Source organism: Homo sapiens, chromosome 3 (genome assembly GCF_000001405.40).
Source record: "Homo sapiens chromosome 3, GRCh38.p14 Primary Assembly".
NCBI classification, from domain to species: Eukaryota; Metazoa; Chordata; class Mammalia; order Primates; family Hominidae; genus Homo; species Homo sapiens.
In genome coordinates this window covers 53,246,443-53,267,959 of record NC_000003.12, presented here as the reverse complement: position 1 = coordinate 53,267,959, position 21,517 = coordinate 53,246,443, and the positions used below count along the sequence as shown (strand labels likewise).

The 21,517-nt window shown below is 50.9% G+C and overlaps 1 protein-coding gene across 5 annotated transcripts in view, besides 3 other annotated features; it reads left to right on the top strand.

The window, feature by feature from the left end:
- Nucleotides 9,093–9,387: an enhancer, noted in NCBI's record as "tiled region #10976; K562 Activating non-DNase unmatched - State 6:EnhF". NCBI's record gives its function as "activates a minimal TATA promoter and a strong SV40 promoter by Sharpr-MPRA in K562 cells {active_cell/tissue: K562}" and the evidence as "EXISTENCE:reporter gene assay evidence [ECO:0000049][PMID:27701403]".
- Nucleotides 9,093–9,387: a silencer, noted in NCBI's record as "tiled region #10976; HepG2 Repressive DNase matched - State 8:EnhW". NCBI's record gives its function as "represses a minimal TATA promoter and a strong SV40 promoter by Sharpr-MPRA in HepG2 cells {active_cell/tissue: HepG2}" and the evidence as "EXISTENCE:reporter gene assay evidence [ECO:0000049][PMID:27701403]".
- Nucleotides 11,652–12,341: a silencer, noted in NCBI's record as "silent region_14464". NCBI's record gives its function as "represses an Ori minimal core promoter by ATAC-STARR-seq in GM12878 lymphoblastoid cells {active_cell/tissue: GM12878}" and the evidence as "EXISTENCE:reporter gene assay evidence [ECO:0000049][PMID:35858748]".
- The window catches only part of TKT (transketolase), a 31,311-nt gene continuing 21,731 nt past the window's right edge, over nucleotides 11,938–21,517 (top strand). For all 5 annotated transcript variants that reach the window (NR_047580.2, NM_001135055.3, NM_001064.4 and 2 more), the window contains exon 1: nucleotides 11,938–12,124. Coding sequence is in view for 4 of the 5 variants with exons in the window: in NM_001135055.3 (NP_001128527.1) it covers nucleotides 12,018–12,124 (107 nt within the window). In the remaining variant the exon portion in view is untranslated. The remainder of the gene's footprint in view (nucleotides 12,125–21,517) is intronic.

The window sequence follows — 21,517 nt, the reverse complement described above, 5'->3', positions numbered from 1 at the left end:
TAAGCCCAGGAGGTCAAGGCTATGGTGAGTCACTGTACTCCAGCCTGGGCAACAGAGAGACCCTGTCTCAAAAAAAAAAAAAAAAGAATAAGTTCTAAAATTAGGTAGTGCTTAGAAGTGCACAAGCTGCACAATCTGTGAATATACCTATGGTATAATACAAAATATATTTGGTCTTTTTAGATTTGTTTAATTTTTAAAGATTTTTTATTTTTATTTTATATATATATATTTTTGGAGACGGAGTCTTGCTCTGTCGCCCAGGCTGGAGTGCAGTGGCGTGATCTCGGCTCACTGCAACCTCCGCCTCCCGGGTTCAAGTGATTCTCCTGCCTCAGCCTCCCAAGTAGCTGGGACTACAGGAGCACGCACTGCCACACCCGGCTAATTTTTTTCGTATTTTTAGTAGAGACAGGGTTTCACCATGTTGCCCAGGCTGGTCTTGAACTCCTCGGCTCAGGCAATCTGCCTGCCTCAACCTCCCAAAGTGCTGGGATTAGAGGTGTGAGCCACCACGCCCGGCCTAATTATTATTTTTTAAGAGACAGAATCTTGATCTGTCACCCAAGCTAGAGTGCAGTGGCACAATCATAGCTCATTGCAGCCTCGAACTACTGGGCTCAAGCAATTCTCCCACCTCAGCCCCTGGAGTAGACACTTGGCTAATTTTTTTTTTTTTTTTTTTTTTTTTTGAGACGGAGTCTCGCTCTGTCACCCAGGCTGGAGTGCAATGGTATGGTCTCGGCTCACTGCAACCTCTGCCTCCCGGATTCAAGCAATTCTCCCACCTCAGCCTCCTGAGTAGCTGGGACTACAGGCGTGTGCCATCACGCCTGGCTACTTTTTGTGTTTTTAGTAGAGACAGGGTTTCACTATGTTGGCCAGGCTAGTCTCGAACTCCTGACCTCATGATCTGCCCGCCTCGGCCTCCAGAGTAATGGGATTACAGGCATAAGCCACCATGCCCAGCCCAAATTTTCTTTATCCTTTCATCCTTTGGTGGATGCTTAGGTTACTTCCATATCTTTTTTTTTTTTTTTCCTTTTTTTGAGAGAAAGTCTTGCTCTGTCACCCAGGCTGGAATGCAGTGGCACGATCTTGGCTCACTGCAACCTCTGCCTCCCAGGCTTAAGCGATTCTCATGCCTCAGCCTCCCGAGTAGCTGGGATTACAGGCACGCGCCACCACACTCAACTAATTTTTATATTTTTAGTAGAGATGGGTTTTTGCCATGTTGGCCAGGCTGGTCTTGAACTCCTGGCCTCAAGTGATCTGCCTGCCTCTGCCTCCCAAAGTGCTGGGATTACAGGCATGAGCCACTACACCCAGCCTGCTTCCATATCTTGATGAAATATATTTAGTATTTGTCCCTAGTTCCTGTCACAGGGCTGAAAACCCTTGGAATTTGCTTAGCAGAAGGCATGTCTTTTGTTACTCATAAGCCACTCTTTGATCACACCTGCGTTTATGCTAACACAGTGACTTGGGGTGAGGCCTCTAGATAGGCTCGGGATGGGGCAGTCACCAGAAAGACCAAGTAATTAGAGGATTAGAGGTCTGGAACTTTCAGCTCCCTCTCCCCGCATACCTCACCCTATCTGTCTCTTCATCTGGCTATTTCTCTGATTCCTTTGTAATATCCTTTATAATAAACGGGTCATTATAAGTAAAATGTTTCCCTGAGTTCTGTGAGCCACTCTAGCAAGTTAATTGAACCAGGGACGGGATCTTGGGAACCTCAATTTATAGTAAGTTCCTCAGAAGTTGCAGAGGCCAAGACCTGTGATTGGCATCTGAAGTAGGGGACAGTCTTACGGACCTGAGCCCTCAGTCTGTGGGATCTGACACTATCTCCAGATAGTGTCAGAATTGAGTTGAATTAGAGGACACACAGCTGGTGTCCACTGCAGGATTGCTTGATGGGGAGAAATCCTCACATATTTTGGTGACCAGGGACCACAGAAGTGTTCTGTGTTGTAGTGACTATATGAGAATTAAAAAAAAAAAATTAATTTATTTTCTCTATCCCTCAACACCAAAAATCATTGAATTATACACTTTTAAGGGAGGGTAGATTTCACGGTGTGTTCATTTTATCTCAAAATGAGATAAAAAATGTGATTAAGAAAAAAAAAAAAGAGGCTAGGTACAGTGGCTCATACCTATAATCCCAGCACTTTGGGAGTCCGAGGTGGGTGGATTGCTTGAACCCAGGAGTTTGGGACCAGCCTGGGCAACACAGCAAAACCCCATCTCTACAAAATAATTAGTAGGGCATGATGGCACACACCTGTGGTCCCAGCTACTCGGGAGGCTGAGGTAGGAGGATCACTTGAACCCGGGAGGTGGAGGTTGCAATGAGCTGAGATTGTGCCACTGCACTCCAGCTTAGACAACAGAGTAAGACCCTGTCTCAAAAAAAAAAAAAAAAAGAGAGAGAGAGAGAGACAGAGAGAGGCAATAAATGTGAAAGGAAAAAGAGGGGAAAGTCATGTGTACTTGGGTGGGCTGGCTCCCAGCAAAGTCGAGGAGCTGGTGCGTTTTTCTCCTGTCTCCAGACTCCCTTTCCTCCCCTTTGTCTCCCTCTCATGGGGCTCTTGCCCAGTCCCAGGACCCTGGAGTTTGCGGACATCGTGGTGAAAGTGATTTGCAAAACTCATCTCAGAATTCTCTCCTCTCATTGCACTTCCCTTTGCTACTGGCCAGAGGGGTCCAATACACTCCCACCCCCTACACGTAATTGCCCAGAAAAGTTTATGGGTCTATGACCTGAAAACTATCAGAAGTCTTCCAGCCCTACTAAACCTAGCTGGATCTGCTTTTCCCAGACAGAAAATGGCCCCAAGGGGCTCTGACTCGGCACACAGGGCCTGGCACAAGGGGAGAATTCAACCTCTGCATGTAGCAAGAATAAGCCTCTCTTACAGATGTGAGAAACAGGACTGGAGAAAGGGCTCCACTGAAGGCCATGCAGGTTTCGGGCTCCCTCTCTCCTCTCACTCTGTCAATCCCACAATGGGACCTTGCCAATTGGAAGCAAAGGTGATGAGTGGCAGAACCAGGCTTTCTGGCCAGCCCTCAGCCAAATATGTACCCAGATCTCTGGCAAAACTGCCACCTTCCTCTCAACACCTGCTGAGGACTCTGGTTCAGGAAATAACTCACCAGGAGGACAAGATTTAGGCACGAAAATGTTAACTGCAGGGCAATACCCAATGATTAACAGCTGGAAGGGGTCTGAGCGTTCAGCCCTAAGGGATGGTTAATAGATGAGGACACGGCCCTATGATGGGACAATGCACAGCTAGTAAAAATGATTTCTTCGAAGCATTTTGAAATGCTAATGAGAAAATATAGGGGGAAAATGGTTTTACATGATCCTGACAATGGATTTTTTTTTTTTTTTTTTTTTTTGTGACGGAGTTTCACTCTTTCGCCCAGGCTGGAGCGAAGTGGCGCGATCTCGGCTCGCTGCAACTTCCACCCGCCAGGTTCAAGCAATTCTCCTGCCTCAGCCTGCCGAGTAGCTGGGATTACAGGCACACGCACAGCTTCCTGAGTAGCTGGGATTACAGGCGCCCCCCACCACACCCAACTAATTTTTGTATTTTTTAGTAGAGATGGGGTTTCGCCATGTTGGCCAGGCTGGTCTCAAACTCCTGACCTCAGATGATCCGTCCACCTCAGCCTCCCAAAGTGCTGGGATTATAGGCATGAGCCACTGCATCTAGCCGACAATGTATTTTTTAAAACAAGGAATTCACAATAGCAAACATACTGAGCAATGACTGTCTTCAGCCTTGCCTGACAACCTGAAGTGTATATCCAGCCCCTGACCCCTGACCCTGACCCTATTGTATTTATTTATTTACTTTTGAGACAAGATCTGGCTCTGTCACCAAGGCTAGAATGCACTGGCTCAATCATGGCTCACTGCAGCCTCGAACTCCTGGGCTTAAACAAGCCTCCCACCTCAGCTTCCTGAGTAGCTGGGACTACAGGTACAGGCCACCATGCCCGGCTAATTTTTAATTTTTTTTTTTTTTAAATGGAGTCTCGCCCTGTTGCCTAGGCTGGAGTGCAGGGGCACGATCTAGGCTCACTGCAACCTCTGCCTCCTGGGTTCAAGCAATTCTCCTGCCTCAGCCTCCTGAGTAGCTGGGACTACAGGTGTGCACCACCACACCCAGCTAATTTTTGTATTTTTAGTAGAGATGGGGTTTCACCATGTTAGCCGGGCTGGTCTGGAACTCCTGACCTCAGGTGATCTGCCCGCCTCGGCCTCCCAAAGTGCTGGGATTACAGACGTGAGCCACCGTGCTCAGCCTAATTTTTAAATTTTTAGTTTGTAGAGACAGGGTATCACCATGTTGTGCAGGCTTGTCTCATGCTCCTGGACTCAAGCAATCTTCCTGCCTTAGCCTCCCAATGTGCTACAGGTGTGTGTGAGTCACTGTGCCCGGCCTATTTTCTTCATAACAATTATATATAATAAATCAATATTTGTCAAATGAGCAAGCAACTTTAACAGTAGTCCCCTTTGAGTGGAATAGTCCATGATTTTAGTTTACTTTGAAATTTTCTGGGCCAAGTATGGTGGCTCACGCCCGTAATCCCAGCACTTTGGGAAATTGAGGTGGGTGGGTCGCTTGAGCCCAGGAGTTCGAAACCAGCCTGGGCAACATGGCAAAACCCCATCTCTACCAAAAATACTAAAAATTAGTCAGGCATGATGGTGCATGCCTATAGTCTCAGCTACTCAGGAGGCTGAGGTGGGAGAATCCCTTTGAGCCCAGGAGACAGAGGTTGCAGTGAGCCAAGATTGTGCCACTGTACTCCAGCCTAGGCAAAAGCAAGACCCAGTCAGAAAAAAAAAAAAAAATTCTGTACTTTTAAAGTTTTTCCGATGACTATGTTTTACTTCGATAATCAGAAATTGAGTGTTTTTAGGCCGGGCACAGTGGCTCACACCTGTAATCCCAGCACTTTGGGAGGCCAAGGCTGGTGGATCACCTGAGGTCAGGAGTTCAAGATCAGCCTGGCCAACAGGGCAAAATCCCATCTTTACTAAAAATACAGAAATAGGCTGGCCACAGTGGTGTATGCCTGTAATCTCAGTGCTTTGGGAGGCCCAGGCGGGCAGATCATGAGGTCAGGAGTTCCAGACCAGCCTGGCTAACATAGTGAAACCCTGTCTCTACTAAAAATACAAAAATTAGCTGGGCACGGTGGTGTGTGCCTGTAATCCCAGCTACTCGGGAGGCTGAGGCAGGAGAATTGCTTGAACCTGGGAGGCTGAGGTTGCAGTGAGCTGAAATCGTGCCACTGCACTCCAGCCTAGGTGACAGAGCGAGACTCTGTCTCAAAAAAAAAAAAAAAAAAAATAGCTGGGCCCAGTGGCACATGCCTGTAGGCCCAGCTACTCAGGAGACTGAAGCACAAAAATCGCTTGAACCCGGGAGGCGGAGGTTACAGTGAGCTGAGATTGTGCCACTACACTCTAGCCTGGAGGACGGAGCTAGACTCTGTCTCAAAAAAAGAAGGAGGAGGAGGAGGAAGAGGGAAGAGGGAAGAAGGAGAAGAAGGAGAAGGAGAAGAAGAAGAAGAAGAAGAGGAAGAGGAAGAGGAAGAGGAAGAAGAAGAAGAAGAAATTGAATGTTTTTAAAAAACAAGAATAAATTGAGTACAAGAGAACTGAGACATTCTGTGAATGAGTTGAAACATTTGTGTTCTCAAATGGGAGCTACATTATCGAAAGAGGCATTTCCCCAAAAATGCCTCCCAAAGGAAATTTCAGGCATTGGGAGGAGAGATAAATGTATTAAAACTCAGTCAACCTACATGCCTCTTTTGGGTACTCAGGAGCAAGGCTGTCTACTCGGCACAGGAGGGCACGAGCTGGACACTCACTCCACGAGGACTCCTCCCAGGCCCCTGAAGGTGGCCAGCCTTGGATATGAGTCAAAAACAGTGTCCTGAGGACCCAGAGCTGGATGTTGGCTCCATTGCAAGCCCTGTGCTGATTTGGGGCTCCCAGAGGCTGGCCCAGGCATGCCCCAGGAGCACACATGTGGGCCCAGCCCTGCCAAAGCAATGTCCAGTGCTGTCACTCAGGAATGCAGCTGCCCAGGGCCCATTCATGCCTCATCAGTGCCTGCTCAGTGAACGTGCAGGAGCACATCAGGATGGCGTTGCCCTAAGTTTTATGTGGATAGCAAAGCAAGGACAGGAGAGGCACCATCAAGCTCCCACTGCCTGGGGGTTTGCTCCCAACCCAAAAACATCCAGGGCAGCAGCCTGGCTTATGAAACATGGGAGCAGCTTTACATAATCATAGGAAACCAAGAGAAAATGTGTGTTCACAAAAATGCAACCTGCCCATAACTTCACTAGCTAATTTTTGTATTTTTAGTGGAGACAGGGTTTCACCATGTTGGTCAGGCTGGTCTGGAACTCCTGACCTCAAGTGATCCACCTGCCTTGGCCTCCCAAAGTGCTGAGATTACAGGTGTGAGCCACTGCGCCCGGCCTATTTTGCTTTTTTTCTGATCAGCTGGGTGTAGTGGCTCATGCCTGTAATCGCAGCACTTTGCGGGGCCAAGATGGGCAGATCACCTGCAGCCATGAGTTCGAGACCAGCCTGGCCAACATGGAGAAACCCTGTCTCTACTAAAAATACAAAACTTAGCTGGATGTGGTGGCAGGCACCTGTAATCCCAGCTACTCAGGAAGCTAAGGCAGGAGAATTGCTTGAACCCAGGAAGCTGAGGTTGCAGTGAACCAAGATCGTGCCACTGCACTCCAGCCTGGATAACAGAGTAAGACTTTGTCTCAAAAAAAAAAAAAAAAAAAAAGTCAACCATGTTCATTGCCAATAAATTCCAACAAAAGAGAAAAGGGTAGGTAAAAAACTGAAAGTCCCCAATTCCCACTCTCTAAGCCTCCCACGGTTTGTGAACCTGTCCCTGCAGACTCTGCATGCCCATGTAAACTTACACACACCTACAAGCATGCGCACAAGTGCACAAAGGCACATGTGTGCTTTTATTTATTTTTGACAGAAATAGGATCACCCTCTATCTGCAGTTCTCTACCTTGCTTTTACCCCATTAACAACGTATTATGGGCCGGGTGCAGTGGCTCATGCCTGTAATCCCAACACTTTGGGAGGCCGAGGCAAGAGGATCACTTGAGCCCAGGAGTTCAAAACTAGCCTGGGCAACATAGCATGAGACCTTATCTCTTAACAACAACAAACGTGAGAGGGTGTGTGAGCATTGTCTGTGAGTGTCAGTGTGTGTGTGTGCCAAACAGTTCCTGCAATCTGGGATTCGTCATGCCCGGCCCAAGTGCAGCCCCCTCTGGGTCCCCAAAGTACAGGGGACATGAAGAGGTGGGACATGACTTCCTGACACTGCCAGTCTCTTATGCAAGGTGCCCCTGCCCAGTATGGCTAGACCGGTCCTGGCATTTCAGGCTGAAGGGCAATTCAGAACTCTCTGCTTCACATTCCACTCTAGGCAGCCAGTACAATCCATCAGCACTGCCTTGGTGATCAAAGCCATTGCCCAGGAACAATACTGGGTGGCATGGCACCCCTCAGGACCCCAACCCCCCTCAGGTCCCTTTTAGTGATACTGGAGATCCCTGGGGAGTGGCTGTGGGGGACTCTTACGTGGGGACTCACACTGTTCTGGCTCCTCTAAGGGTGACCTTCTCCCTAGTGCTGCACGGGTCCTGGGGGACAGCTCAGATTCCAGAATGTGGCTCTGCTCTCAGGTCACTGTGGCCTCTGCTGGCACCTGATGCCGGCAGTAGGACATTTCTGCCACTTCCTACCCTCCAACAGAGCACCTTTGTGTCTCGGTTTCTGGAAAGGCCGGAATGAAGGACACCAGTCTGAATGGCCAGATTCCCTCCCCTGAGGCCTCCCTGATGCCCTCTTGGCTTGGGTGCAGCCCTGGCACTTGCTGACTCTGTGTCCTCAGGCACATCACTTGACATTCATGCTTTCATTCTGCAGGCATTCATTGAGCCCCTATTGTATATGAGACCCAGTTGTAGTCCCTGCGGATAGAGCCAGGGACAAGAGATTGTATTCCGGCTCTCCGGGAGCTGACCAAAGATCATGCAGATAGGCAGAGAGCCCTGCAGAGACCAAGACAGGCAGTGTGATGGGCAGCATGGCTCTAGATCCAGGCCATGTGAGGAGCCTCAGGAAGGGCTCTGCTGGCTCAGGGAGCAGCCTGTGCAAAACCTCTAGGAGGGAGTGGGCTTGGTATTTTTTAAGGAATGCGAGGTCAGTGTGGCTGAGATGGGTAGGGCTGGGGGACCTGAATTATATCCAAAGGGTGGAGGAAGAACAACATGGGAGTTAAGCTGGGGAGGAACACTTCTCTGGCAGCCATGGGGAGGGTGAACAGGAGGCTGAGAGAGGATGGGGTGTGAGGGCAGCAGGGAGCCAGATGTTAGCTGGAAGCCAGACAGGATCCCAGGGCTTTCTTCCAAGTGCCATGTGACTTCTGAGGCGTGAGGGTTCGAATAAAGACCCTGGGACCTGGGGACAAGGGAACCACCCTGGACAAACTGGGTGCTAGCAACACCTCCAGCTAGCCTAGGATTCTGGTTCTGAAGCTGACCTTCAGGAAGACCAAGAGCTCTTGAAATAAGGCTGAACCCTTGGGCCCTGTGAAAGGGAAAACACTCAAACTCTGTTTTTCCTCTGTTCTCACACCACAACAATTAACACAAAAGACTCCTGTGATCAAATGTGTGGGGGTTTCTCCCCATGCACCAAGCAAGCAACCAATTCTGCAGCAACACCAGCTGGGTGTCCTCCAACTCTATTCCATTCTGATGCTAATTACCTGGAGATAGCCTCAGAAACCACAGGTTAAGGATTCAGTCCCCCAAGAGCACCTCCTCCTTCCCATGAGTCGCAAGATTGGGACTGACCAGCTTCAAGTTGGGGTTCCCACCACTCCCTCTTTGGGTTCAATTAATTTGCTAGCGCAGCTCTCAAAACTCAGGAAAGCACATTTATCGGTTAGTTACAAAGGATATTTTAAAGGAGACAAAGAAACAGTTAGGCAAAGAGATACATAGGCGGAGGCCTGGAAAGGTCCCTAGTGAAGGAGCCATTGTCTCCATGGAGCTGGAATGTTCCACCCTCCCAGCACGTGGATGAGTTCTTGTTCACCTTCCTGTGAGCCTCCACGTGTTCCGCTGTCCAGAAGCTCCTGAACCCTGTCCTCTTGAGCCTTTCATGGACATTTCATTGGACAGACATGATTGACAACCTTGTGGAAATGTGATTAGACCAAAAGTATATGATCTAATACTAACTGACTGAGTGGGGAAACCCCGCAAGACCTGTGTGTCCTGACTCTTCTTGACCTCTCTGTGAAGCTCACTGTCTGGTAAAAGGGCAGACTCTTGAAACCTTTTGAAAACTCTGTGCCATCCAACTCTGTGGCCCTTAGGACAGTGGCTCCCTAAGGGAGTGGCCTCAATTTCCCCATCTGCCTAACGGGACTCATCCTTATCACTCTGCACCCACTCTGGTCTTCCCTCCTCATGGGTATGGGACAGAACCCCTTCTCATGGGGGTCTAATGACCTACAATTACACGAGGTAGGTGAGAGAACTTACTTATGGCCAGCTCCAAGACAGACCGGCAGGAGAAGATCCTGCCATGGGGAGAGAAAGGAGCAGGTGAAAGGAAGGTAGGAGAAGGCCTGAGAGACTCTGTTTCTGGGGTCTGCTCCTGAGGTCTAAAGCACCCCAGTGGTATAACAAGGGTTGGGGGCAGTTCTAAGCCAGGGGCCTGTATATGCATATCATAGTATCACAGGCCCCATTCATGTGGAACACCAGGAGGAGAGAGAGCCTCCCTGAGGTCCCTGGAGCTCCAGGTGGTGGGGAGGGGACAATTTTCTTTCCATTACTCCTAGGTCCCCAGAGCCATGGTGAGTTCTGTGCCATTGTCAGAGACCAGAGTGATAAGGATGAGTCCCATTAGGCAGATGGGGAAATGGAGTCCACTCCCTTAGGGAGCCACTGCTCTAAGGGCCACAGAGTTGGAAGGCACAGAGCTTTCAAAGGGTTTCAAGGGTTTGCCCTTTTTCCAGACAGTGAGCAGCTTGAGGGCAGAGGTGGCACCTGCCAGGCATCTGAGGGTGGCACACTGTGGGGCCCCCCTCCAATCCTAGCCCATAGCCCTCACCAGCCAGACACCATAGGGCCAGCCTCTGCGGGCTGGGCCAGCAGGAGCCAGGTGCTATGGGATGCCATACTTAGGGTCTGATTGGGCATCTGGGGGTCAGGCCAGCAGAGGAGCACCTGGAGGCGAGCTGGGGGACTCACTCAAATTCAGTCAATCGCCTCATGAGCCAGAGCTCTCTGAGTATGGGCAATGCAGGGAGGACACAGAGGACACAGGGCGGCCACTGGTGCCTCTTGGATCTCTCAGGGTTTTAGCTCCCTGCCCAGCCATCCGTTTGAGGGTCTTGCCTTTATCTTTCCTCTGTCAAATGGAGCTTCTTCCTCTGTAAAATAGGCATTGTAGGCAGTATGTACCTCACTGGCCAAGTGTGGTGGGCAGATTGAATGAAACAGTGTCTGTGATGAAAGTCCCCTCCCTAATCCCACTCTGGGGAGCTTCATACCTCTGGGAACCATGGGGTCTGATAACAGTAGTGGTGGGTGCCCCTGTCCCTACAGACCTGGAAGCAAACCCAATAATCTCCCTAAAAGTCAGTAGTGTTTCTAGGCCCTAATAATTTGTAAAGGATCTTCCCCTAGTAATTTCTCAGTTATCATCACCTGGCATTGTCATGGCTACCACTATCCTATTCTCATTTTCAATAATCCCCATCCCCTGTGCAGGGCTCTAAAGCCCTGAGTGGCTGGGCATGGTGGCTCATACCTATAATCCGGCACTTTGGGAGGCAGAGGAGGGCAGATGGCTTGAGCCTAGGAGTTCAAGACCTGCCTGGGTAAAGTGGCAAAACCCCATCTCTACAAAACATACAAAAATTAGCCGGGCGTGGTAGTGTGTACCTATGGTCCCAGCTACTTTTGAGGCTGAGGCAGAAGGATCACTTGAGCCCAGGAGGCTGAGGCTTCAGGCAGCTGTAATCACTCCACTGCATTCCAGCCTGGGTGACCATGGGTGACCCCGTCTCAAAGAAAAAACAAGTTTTTTAATTATTAGAAAAAAGAAATAGGGCCTGGTGCGGTGGCTCACCCCTGTAACCCCAGCACTTTGGGAGGCCGAGGCGGATCACCTGAGGTCGGGAGTTCAAGATCAGCCTGACCAACATGGAGAAACCCCGTCTCTACTAAAAATACAAAATTAGCTAGGTGTGGTGGCGCATGCTTGTAATCCCAGCTACTAGGGAGGCTGAGGCAGGAGAATTGCTTGAACTCAGGAGGCGGAGGTTGTGGTGAGCCAAGATCATGCCATTGCACTCCAGCCTGGGCAACAACAGCGAAACTCAGTCTCAAAATTAAGTCCTGCAGTCTCTTGGGCCTGGGGTTGGTCGGCTGGGGCCAAGCCTGGCACCCACCAGCCTTGTGACCTTGATTGCCCTTGCCAAGCCTCAGTTTGTCCATCTCTAAAATGGGATTCGCCGTGACAAGTCCACGGAGGACTGTGTGGAGGAGGGAGACTGAGAGGCTTTCGAGTCAGGAGCCCAGACTCGAATCCTGAGTTGTTCGTTATGTTATTATTATTGGTGTGTGTGGTTAACTGCTAACCTCGCAGTCCGCAGCGGCCCAGCGCCTAGGGGAGGGGAGCGGGCAGGAGGCGGCCCCAGGCGGGGCGGGGCTGAAGGCCTGGGGTGATCCGAGCCCCGCCTCCTCCCCCTGCCCCGCCTCTCCCATCCCCGCCCCGCCCCGCCCGGCGACTTAACGCGCCCCCGCCCCGCGCCCGGCCTCGGCAGCCGCCTGTCGCCGCGGGAGCAGCCGCTATCTCTGTGTGTCCGCGTGTGCGCCCGGTCCCCGCCTGCCGCACCATGGAGAGCTACCACAAGCCTGACCAGCAGAAGCTGCAGGCCTTGAAGGACACGGCCAACCGCCTACGTATCAGCTCCATCCAGGCCACCACTGCGGCGGGCTCTGGGTGAGTGCGCGGCGCCGGCCGGGGACGCGGCTCGGGCGGGGCGGGGGGCGTCTGCGGCGGCCAGAGTCGCCGCGGGCTCTGGGTCGCGCTGCGAGATGCCTAGACGAGGAAGGTGGCCCGGGCGCCGTCGGAGGGCGGAGACGCGCGCCTCGCAGGGCCCCGGGCTGCAGGCGGCTTCCGCTGCGCCGCACACTCGCCCTACGCCCGGGCTCGGCCGCGTGGGCCTCTGGTCCTCCGTGCGCCTCAGGCCGGCTCTTCCCCACGCGGATCGCCGGCCGCGCAGCTGCATGGTGGCGCGGGGGATGGGCTCGCGACTCGCCAAGTACCCTCTAGGGTGATGCCGGGAAGGCCACCATTACTGCTGTTCTACAGAACGCGGCCCTCTTAACCCTCTCCACCACCTGGCTGTGTGGGCGCCGCCGGGAGTGTTCCCCCTTCCAGATGGGGAAACGGAGGCTCCGAGTTAGTCAGCTACCCAAAGTTACACACAGGGAGATCTGATTTGAGCCCCAGCAGTCCGACTCTAGAGACCCTGTTTTTAATTCCTCTTGCAGGAGACTCGGGGGCCCGGCCTTCTCCCCACCTCAGACTACGCTCCCCTACCCCTGTCTCCTGCCACCCCTGGGTTGGGTCCGAGTTTGGAGCAGGGGGCTGCTGAGACGCCAGGCAGCGGCGGGGCTGATTGGGGGAAGAGGGGAGGAGGGCGGTGGCACGTGGGTGCAGAACCCTGGGATCCATTGTGAAAAGGAGGTCTAAGATTTGACCTGGGGCGGGAGGAGGCGGAGGGCAAGGAGACTGAGAAGGCTGAGCGCCGGAAGGACGGAGTTCCAGGGCCCTAGCGCCGGGAGTGACGTCCTGGGGCAGGGCCAGCCACCAGGTGCTGTATCTCCCAGGCAGGAGCTGGCGTGCCTAGGCCCCAAGATCCTTCCCTGGCCAGCCCTTTTGGCCCAGAAGGTGGACACCCAAGGAGCCTCCTCTGTAGCGGAGACAGGGATAATTAATGAGGGCCACCGTGCATGCAGCTGGAGGTGTCCAGTGGGGTGGGTGAGGGGGTCAGTCAGTGAATTACTTCAGAGCCTGCTTCCCGCTCTGTAAAGCGGGGACAGTAATGGCACTTAACCACGCTGGGTGGTTTCAAGGACTCCAGTGCTCTACTTGGAGGCTGCTTTGAGGCCACAGTGCCAGCAGTGCTCCGGGCTCATGACAGGGTTGTGAGGGCTGCGTGATGGATGATTTCTCGGGACCTTCCCAAACAAGCTCTGTTTCAGACAGACAAGATTCTGGCTTCTGGCCAATTTCATTCAGGATATATTATTAAGAAGTAAATCTGTTCACCTTTCTGGGTGGATACGCATTCACCCTTTGTGCCTCTAAGACACCCTGTTCTCAGAAGGGATTAGATGTCTTTCAAAGCCCTTCCCCCACCCACTGCCTTGCACACTTTGGACCTGTTAGCTCTCCTGGGTTTGTGTCAGTCTTACCACTTATGTGGGGTATCCCCTGCCTGGGCAGGGACCTGGCTTACTCTCAGCTCCCCTTTCACCAGCCTGGCACACGGTAGCTCTGCAGGCCTTGTATTGCTTATTTGGTACTGTTGGACCTGCTACCTTTGGCCGTTTCAGGGGGTCTGAGGTCTAGCTGGAGAGAGGCAGCAATTACCCAACTAAGTAGTATTGCACATCTGAGCATCTTTCAGGGCTAGATAAAACATGCAGATGTTTACAGGGTTCCTGAGCTGCCAAGTAGGTATCTGGTATGACACAGCATCATCGTTTGTTGCATCCTGAGAATAACCCTGTGAGATAGATTGTGTTGTATTCACATTTTATAGACGGGAACACTGAGGCTAGTGTGTTAAGTTACTTGCCCAGGCTGGGAATTGGTGGCCATTCCGTACTGTCTGGTTGGGGCTCATGCTGTCAGGAATGCTTCTTGGCAGGGCATGGTGGTTCATGCCTGTAATCACAGCACTTTGGGAGGCCAAGGTGGGAGGATTGCTTGAGCCCAGGAGTTCCAGACCAACCTGGGCAACACAGTGAGACCCCATAGCTTAAAAAAAAAATTTTTTTTTTGAGATGGAGTCTTGCTCTATCGCCCAGGCTAGAGTGCAGCAGCACAATCTTGGCTCACTGCAACCTCTGCCTCCCAGGTTCAACTGATTCTCCTGCCCTAGCCTCCTGAGTAGCTGGGACTACAGGCATCCGCCACCGCACCGGCTAATTTTTGTATTTTTAGTAGAGATGGGGTTTCACCATCTTGGCCAGGCTGGTCTCTTGACCTCAGGTGATCCACCCACCTCGGCCTCCCGAAGTGCTGGGATTACGAGTGTGAACCACTGCCCCCGGCCAAACATTTTTTTTAATTGGCTAGGTGTGGTGATGTGTACCTGTAGTCCCAGCTACATGGGAGGCTGAGGCAGAGGATCACTTGAGCCCAGGAAGTTGAGGCTGTAGTGAGCCTTGAACATGCCACACACTGCAGCATGGGTGACAGAGTGAGACTGTGTCTCAAAAGAAAGAAAGAGAGAGAGAGAGAAAGAAAGAAAGGCCAAGAAAAGAAAAATAGTTGGGCATGGTGTTACATGTATGCCAGCACTTTGGGAGGCCAAGGCAGAAGGTTCGCTTGAGGCCAGGAGTTCAAGACCAGCCTGGGTAACATTAGCAAGACCCTGTCTCCAAAAATAAATAATGTTTCGGCCAGGCGCAGTGACTCATCCCTTTAATCCCAGCACTTTGGGAGGTGTAGGCGAGTGGATCACCTGAAGGTCAGGAGATCGAGACCAGCTTGGCCAACATGGTGAAACCCTGTCCCTACTAAAAATACAAAAAATTAGCTGGACGTGGTGGCGGGCGCCTGTAATCCCAGCTACTCAGGAGGCTGAGGCAGGAGAATCACTTGAACCCGGGAGGCAGAAGTTGCGGTGAGCTGAGATTGCACCATTGCACTCTGGCCTGGGCAACAAAATTGAAACTTCTTCTCAAAAAAAAAAAAGAATGCCTCTTGGGCAAGCAGTCTGTGCCAGGCTGGAGAATGGTGAAAAAGGTGAAAGGGAAGGCCAGGTACAGCCGCGGTGGATATTAGTCAGTCTGAAAGGCACTTGGAGAGAAATAAGATTTACAAATGTAGGGTGCTCCAAAAGAGTGGAATGTCAAGTGTGTCTCCTAGTTCTTTGTTAGGCAAAGTCTGATTTCCTCACCGCCGTTACCCCTCCGGAAACATACTGTGGTGTCCGAGAGTTACACCATGTTTACATTGTAATGTCTTGGAGAGGGAAGCTCACTGAACTCAAAAAATATCCATTTGCAAAAGAAAAAAAGGATATGTAAAATACAGTGACTGTGTGTGTGTATGTATATGTTTAAAATATGCAAAAAAGGAGGGAAAACTTATTTTTCAGAAGGAAATAACGTTGCTATGCAACCCATATTTTGAAAGTTGTGAGCCAAGAGTATGTGTGTGTTTGCACCCAAAAGCTAATCAAGGAAGACTTGAGACACAGGTAGTCTTCTGTTTCTTGTCCCCAGATGTTTATCTTGAGGCCCACTGTTCCCTCTCTGCAATGAGGCATAGAGTGAAGGCTCAGTCCGGAAGCCCTGGCCCAATCTGGGCTGTAGTCACAGCTAAAGTGACAGTTTGTCAGAATGTCCCCTTTTCTGGGGGAGCTCACAGGACTTTGATCCAGTTCTTTTTCTTTTGAGATGGAGTTTCACTCTTGTTGCCCAGGCTGGAGTGCAATGGTGCGATCTTGGCTCACCACAAACTCCGCCTCCCAGGTTCAAGCAATTCTCCTGCCTCAGCCTCCCAAGTAGCTGGGATTACAGGCATGCACCACCACGCCCGGCTAATTTTGTATTTTTACCCCGTAGAGACGGGGTTTCTCCATGTTGAGGTTGGTCTTGAACTCCTGACCTCAGGTGATCCGCCCGCCTCGGCCTCCCAAAGTGCTGGGATTATAGGCGTGAGCCACCGCTCCTGGCCCCTTTTCCTTTTTTCTTTTTTTTTAAGACAGGGTCTTGCTGTGTCACCCACCAGGTCTGGAGTACAGAGGCACAGTCATGGCTCCCTGCAGTCTTGAACTCCTAGGCTATAGCAATCCTGCCTCACCCTCCTGGGTAGCTGGGACCACAGACATGTGCTACCATGTCTAGCTTTGGTCCAATCTTTTGCTGGCCACTTACTGAGACAGGATTTGTACATTCTGTGAGGACCCAGGCTCGTTTCTCGATAGCTTTCCCATTCCTATGCCATTGCTGACCCGTGTGCAGTGAACCTCACCAGGCCCAGGAAGCAGGGACACTGGCCTCTGTCAGGAGTTGGGCCTGGAGGTGAAGGGACAGACCTCACAGAAGGCTCTTTGTTGAGGCAGCGCCCACAGTGGCTAGAGCTTCTCTGGGGTCATCTCCTTCCATGGGCTGAAGGAATTATGGCAAGGGTCCAGCTCATCCTGGCTTTAAAAAAACAAAACCCCAGTGGCCTTGTCAGAAGTGGCCTGGATGCTGAGGCTGGTGGCAAAGATTTCTCAGTTCTCACCAGGGCCAGACTGTGGTGTTATCCAAACAGTGCAAGTGTCATCTGAGGACTCCATCACAGTCAGGCCTGATTCAAAAGGGAAGGTGGTCTGTGCTTTCAACAAGTCCCCCCAGGGTTTCTGACCCACAGCTTTGGGGAGGTTAATGCCTGGCCAGTCCTGGCTGGTGGACACAGGAGATGAGTCCAACCCTGGCTCTGTTCCTAGTGGCTGTGCCTTTGTCAGAAAGGCCCTTCCGGCCAGGTGCGGTGGCTCATGCCTGTATTCACAGCACTTTGGGAGGCCAGGGTGGGAGGATTGCTTGAGCCTGGGAGTTCAGGACCAAACTGGGCAACATAGTGAGACCTCATCTCTACAAAAAAAAGAAAGAGCTGTGCATGTGCCTGTAGTCCCAGCTACTTGGGAGGCTGAGGTGTGAGGATCACTTGAGCCCAGGAGTTCAAGGCTGCAGTGAGTTATGATCATGGCTCTGCACTCCAGCCTGGGCAACAGTGAAACCCTGGCTCTTAAAAAAACAAAACAAAACAAAAAAACCTTCCTATCTCAGGTTCTCAGTTGCCCAGGCTAGAATGCTGTGGCGTGATCTCTGCTCACTGCAGCCTCCGCCTCCTGGGCTCAAATGATGCCCTCATCTCAGCCTCACAAGTAGCTGGGACCACAGGCATGAGCCACTATGCCTTGGCTAATTTTTGTATTTTTTGTAGAGTTGAGGTTTTGTCATTTTGCCCAGGCTGGTCTCAAACTCCTGGGCTTAAGCGATCCACCTGCCTCAGCTTCCCTAGAGTACTGGGATTACAGGCCATTTTCTCCATCTTGAAAGGAGAGGTTCATGGATAGGTGGTTTCAAACTGGGTGCCTCAGGAGTAGGGCTGGGGATGGAGTGAGTGGGCTCCGGGGTCCCACCGCCCGCTGTTGCTGATTTTACATCCTGGTGCTCTTTGTGCCCTTAAAGTGGCTGGGGTTGTATCCCAGTTTACCCAGCTCTGACATCCAGGTGCTTTGGCTGAAGGCTTGAGGGCCTCCTGGGGTCTCTGGCCCCATGTGGCTCCGCCTCTCTGGGCCTGTTTCTGTTTTTGGGCTGCCTCAGGACCCATCCTGGCCCTGACTGAGGCAAGAGCATGACCGTTGAGATTGCCCCAGCAGCAGCATTTCCTCACTCAGTGTGAAGACACTGGCCACCCTGGGGTGGCTTGGTTCTCTGCCCGAGTGACCTCTCCTCTGCAGGGCTGGTGGTCGGTGTTTTAAGAAACTGGAAGTGAAGTACAGCACCTAGTTAGGATCTGGCTGAGACTTTGTCGTGGCTTCCTATGGACTCTAACTGATGTCCGGCCCCTGTTGTGGCTCTGACCCCTCAACATTCATTGTCTCTTGTGGCAGGCTTGTTGTCACTGTCGCCTAGTTCCACAAAATCAGGAACTCCCTTCTTGCCACAGACCAGTTTGCCCTGGGTGCTGGGGACACTTCTAGAGGTCAGGGACCTGCACAGAGCTAGGTCCTCAGGCAGGCTCTGCTCCTGCCCTGAATGGAGAGGCAAGGTAGGGGAGAGAGGATGTGCTGGGAGCTGGGGTGAGCCCACCTGCAGATGGGGGTTGCTCAGAAGTCAGTTGCATTTGTGCACTGGGTGGAATCTCCGAGGACTACACAGCTGGAAGGGAAGTGTGGACGCCCAAGAACTTCCTCTACTGAGCTCTCCTAGCACCTTTTTCTTCATTTATTTGTTTGTTTGACAGAGTCTCGCTCTGTCACCCAGGCTGGAGTGCAGTGGGGCGGCGATCTTGGCTCACTGTAACCTCCACATCCTAGGTTCAAGCGATTTTCTGCCTCAGTCTCCCAAGTAGCTGGGATTACAGGTGCATGCCACCACTGCCCAGCTAATTTTTGCATTTTCAGTAGGGATGGGGTTTCACCATGTTGGCCAGGCTGGTCTTGAATTCCTGACCTCAGGTGATCCTCCCGCCAGCCTTGGCCTCCCAAAGTGTTGGGATTACAGGCGTGAGCCACTGCTCCAGGCCCTTTTTCTTTTAAAAACAAATTTTTAGGCCAGGTGTGATAGCTCACACCTGTAATCCCAGCACTTTGGGAGGCCAAGGTGGGTGGATCATTTGAGGTCAGGAGTTCGAGACAGCCCAGCCAACATGGTGAAACCCTGTCTCTACTAAAAAATACAAAAAAAATGAGTCGGGCATGGTAGCAGGCACCTGTAACCCCAGCTACTCGGGAGGCTGAGGCATGAGAATCGCTTGAACCCGGGAGGCGGAGGTTGCAGTGAGCCAAGATTGTACCACTGCACTCCAGCCTGGGTGACAGAGTGAGAACTTGTCTCAAATAAATAAATAAATAAAAATAAAAACAAATTTCTAGCAGCTTGATTAAGGTATAATTGGCGTATCATAACATTGTAAGTGATTTTAATGAATTTGCAGAGATTTACTACAAAAATTTACCACATCTCCTAAAAGATCTCTTCTGGACATTTGCTGTCACTCCCCATTTCCACCCCCAGTCCTGGGCAACCACTAATCTAATTTTCTGTCTCTAAATTTAACTCTTCTAGACATTTCATATAAATGCAATTATACAGAATGAGTTCTTTTGGGTCTGGCCTCTTAGCATAATTTTTAGAGGGTCATCCATGTTGTAACATGAATCAGTACTTTGTTCCTTTTTTTTGGGGGGTGGGGGGCAGGGTCTCCACTGTGTCCCGAAGCTGGAGTGCAATGGCACAGTCATGGCACACTGCAGCCTCAACCTCCCGGGATCAAGCAGTCTTCCCAGCTCAGCCTCCTAAGTAGCTGGGAGGCACTCACCACCATACACAGCTAATTTTAAAAATTATTTGTAGAGACAGGGTATGTTGCTGAGCCTGGTCTCAAATTCTGGGCTCAAGTCCTCTTCCTGCCTTGGCCTCTCAAAGTGCTGGAATTAACAGGCATGAGCCACCACGCCCAGCCCTTCATTTCTTTTTACGGCTGAATATTCCGTTGTGTGGACATAGTGCATTTTGTTTATCCATTCACCAGTTTTTCTTAGCATTTTGCTCTTATCCTAGCTCTGCTGCTGGCAGGCCGTGTGACTTTAGGCAAGTCACTTTCTGTGAACCTTAGTGGCCCCATCCTCCGAATGAAGCATAGTCTAATATTTACTGAGCAATTGCTAATTTCTATGCATGGTGCCACGTTCTGTACATACACACTACATCATTTAGTCAGATTCTTCTTTTACCTCCGTTTTATAGTGAGGAAACTGAGGCTCAAAGAGGTTACAGCCCCAAGGTTACTAGGATACATCATGTATTCATTTGTGCACTCAGTTTGTGCCTGGTACTATTCAAGCCTGTGGATACAACAGTGAAAGGCCCAAAGCTCTGTCCTCAAGGAGCTTGTATTGCAGTAGGGTAGACAGGCAATAACCACCTAATGTCAGGTGGCAAGCATGAGTGAGGGGAAGAAGAGCTATTTTAGACAGTGTGGTCAGGGAGGGCTTCTTGGAAGAGGTGACATGGGGCAGAGATCTGAAGAAACAACCTGAGGTCTGGAGCCAGAGGTTCTTTCCGGGCAGAAGCCAGCTCGGGTAGTTCAGGGCACAGGAAGAGCAAGAACTGCTTCTGATGTTCATTTCCACCCTGACATCCTGGGATTCTCTCCTGAGTATTTTTTTTTTTTTTTTTTTTTTTTGAGGTGGAGTCTGTTGCCTAGGCTGGAGTGCAGTGGTGCGATCTCGGCTCACTGCAGCCTCTGCCTCCCAGGTTCAAGCAATTCTCCTGCCTTAGCCTCCCATGTAAAGTAGCTGGGACTAGTGGCCCGCACCACCATGCCCAGCTAATTTTTGTGTTTTTAGTAGAGGCGGGGTTTTGCCATGTTGGCCAGGCCGGTCTTGAACTCCTGACCTCAGGTGCCTCAGGTGAGCCACCGCCCCTGGCCTCTTCTAAATTTTTTTTTTTTTTTTTTTTTGAGGCTGAGTTTCACTCTTGTCTCCCAGGCTGGAGTGCAATGGTGAGATCTCAGCTCACTGCAACCTCTGCCTCCCAGGTTCAAGCGATTCTCCTGCCTCAGTCTCCCAAGTAGCTGGGATTACAGGCACCCACCACCATGCCCAACTAATTATTGTATTTTTAGTAGAGACGGGGTTTCACCTTGTTGGCCAAGCTGGTCTCAGACTCCTGACCTCAGGTGATCCACCTGTCTCTGTCTCCCAAAGTGCTGGGATTATAGGCGTGAGCCACCTGAATATTTAAAAAAAAAAAAGTATATGCATAAAGAAGAAGATAAATGATGTACTCTTGTCATAAATAATGAACCTGTGTGTAGCTGCTCCCAGGATTAAGAACTAGTACATTACAGTGATTTTTGGAACTACAGTGGGTCCCTCCATCCTCATCTTCCCTTCCCCTGAGAAAGAACTATACCCTGAATTTTTTGTTTGTTATCATTCTATTGTTTTCCTTTTTTTTTTTTTTGAGACGGAGTTTTGCTCTTGTTGTCCAGGCTGGAGTGCAATGGCGCCATCTCGGCTCACTTCAACCTCCGCCTCCCGGGTTCAAACGATTCTCCTGTCTCAGCCTCCCGAGTAGCTGGGATTACAGGCATGTGCCACATGCCCGGCTAATTTTGTATTTTTAGTAGAGATGGGGTTTATCCGTGTTGGTCAAGCTGGTCTCAAACTCATGACCTCAGGTGATCTGCCCTCCTCGGCCTCCCAAAGTGCTGGGATTACAGGCTTGAGCCACCGCACCTGGCCTGTTTTCCTTGTAGTATATACAAAAAGACTTGTACATAAATCAATATGGTCTTCTTTGTTAAACAGATCCTTCTGCACTGTGCTTTTTTCACACTATATTTGGGAGAGAATATTGATACCGGATTTGT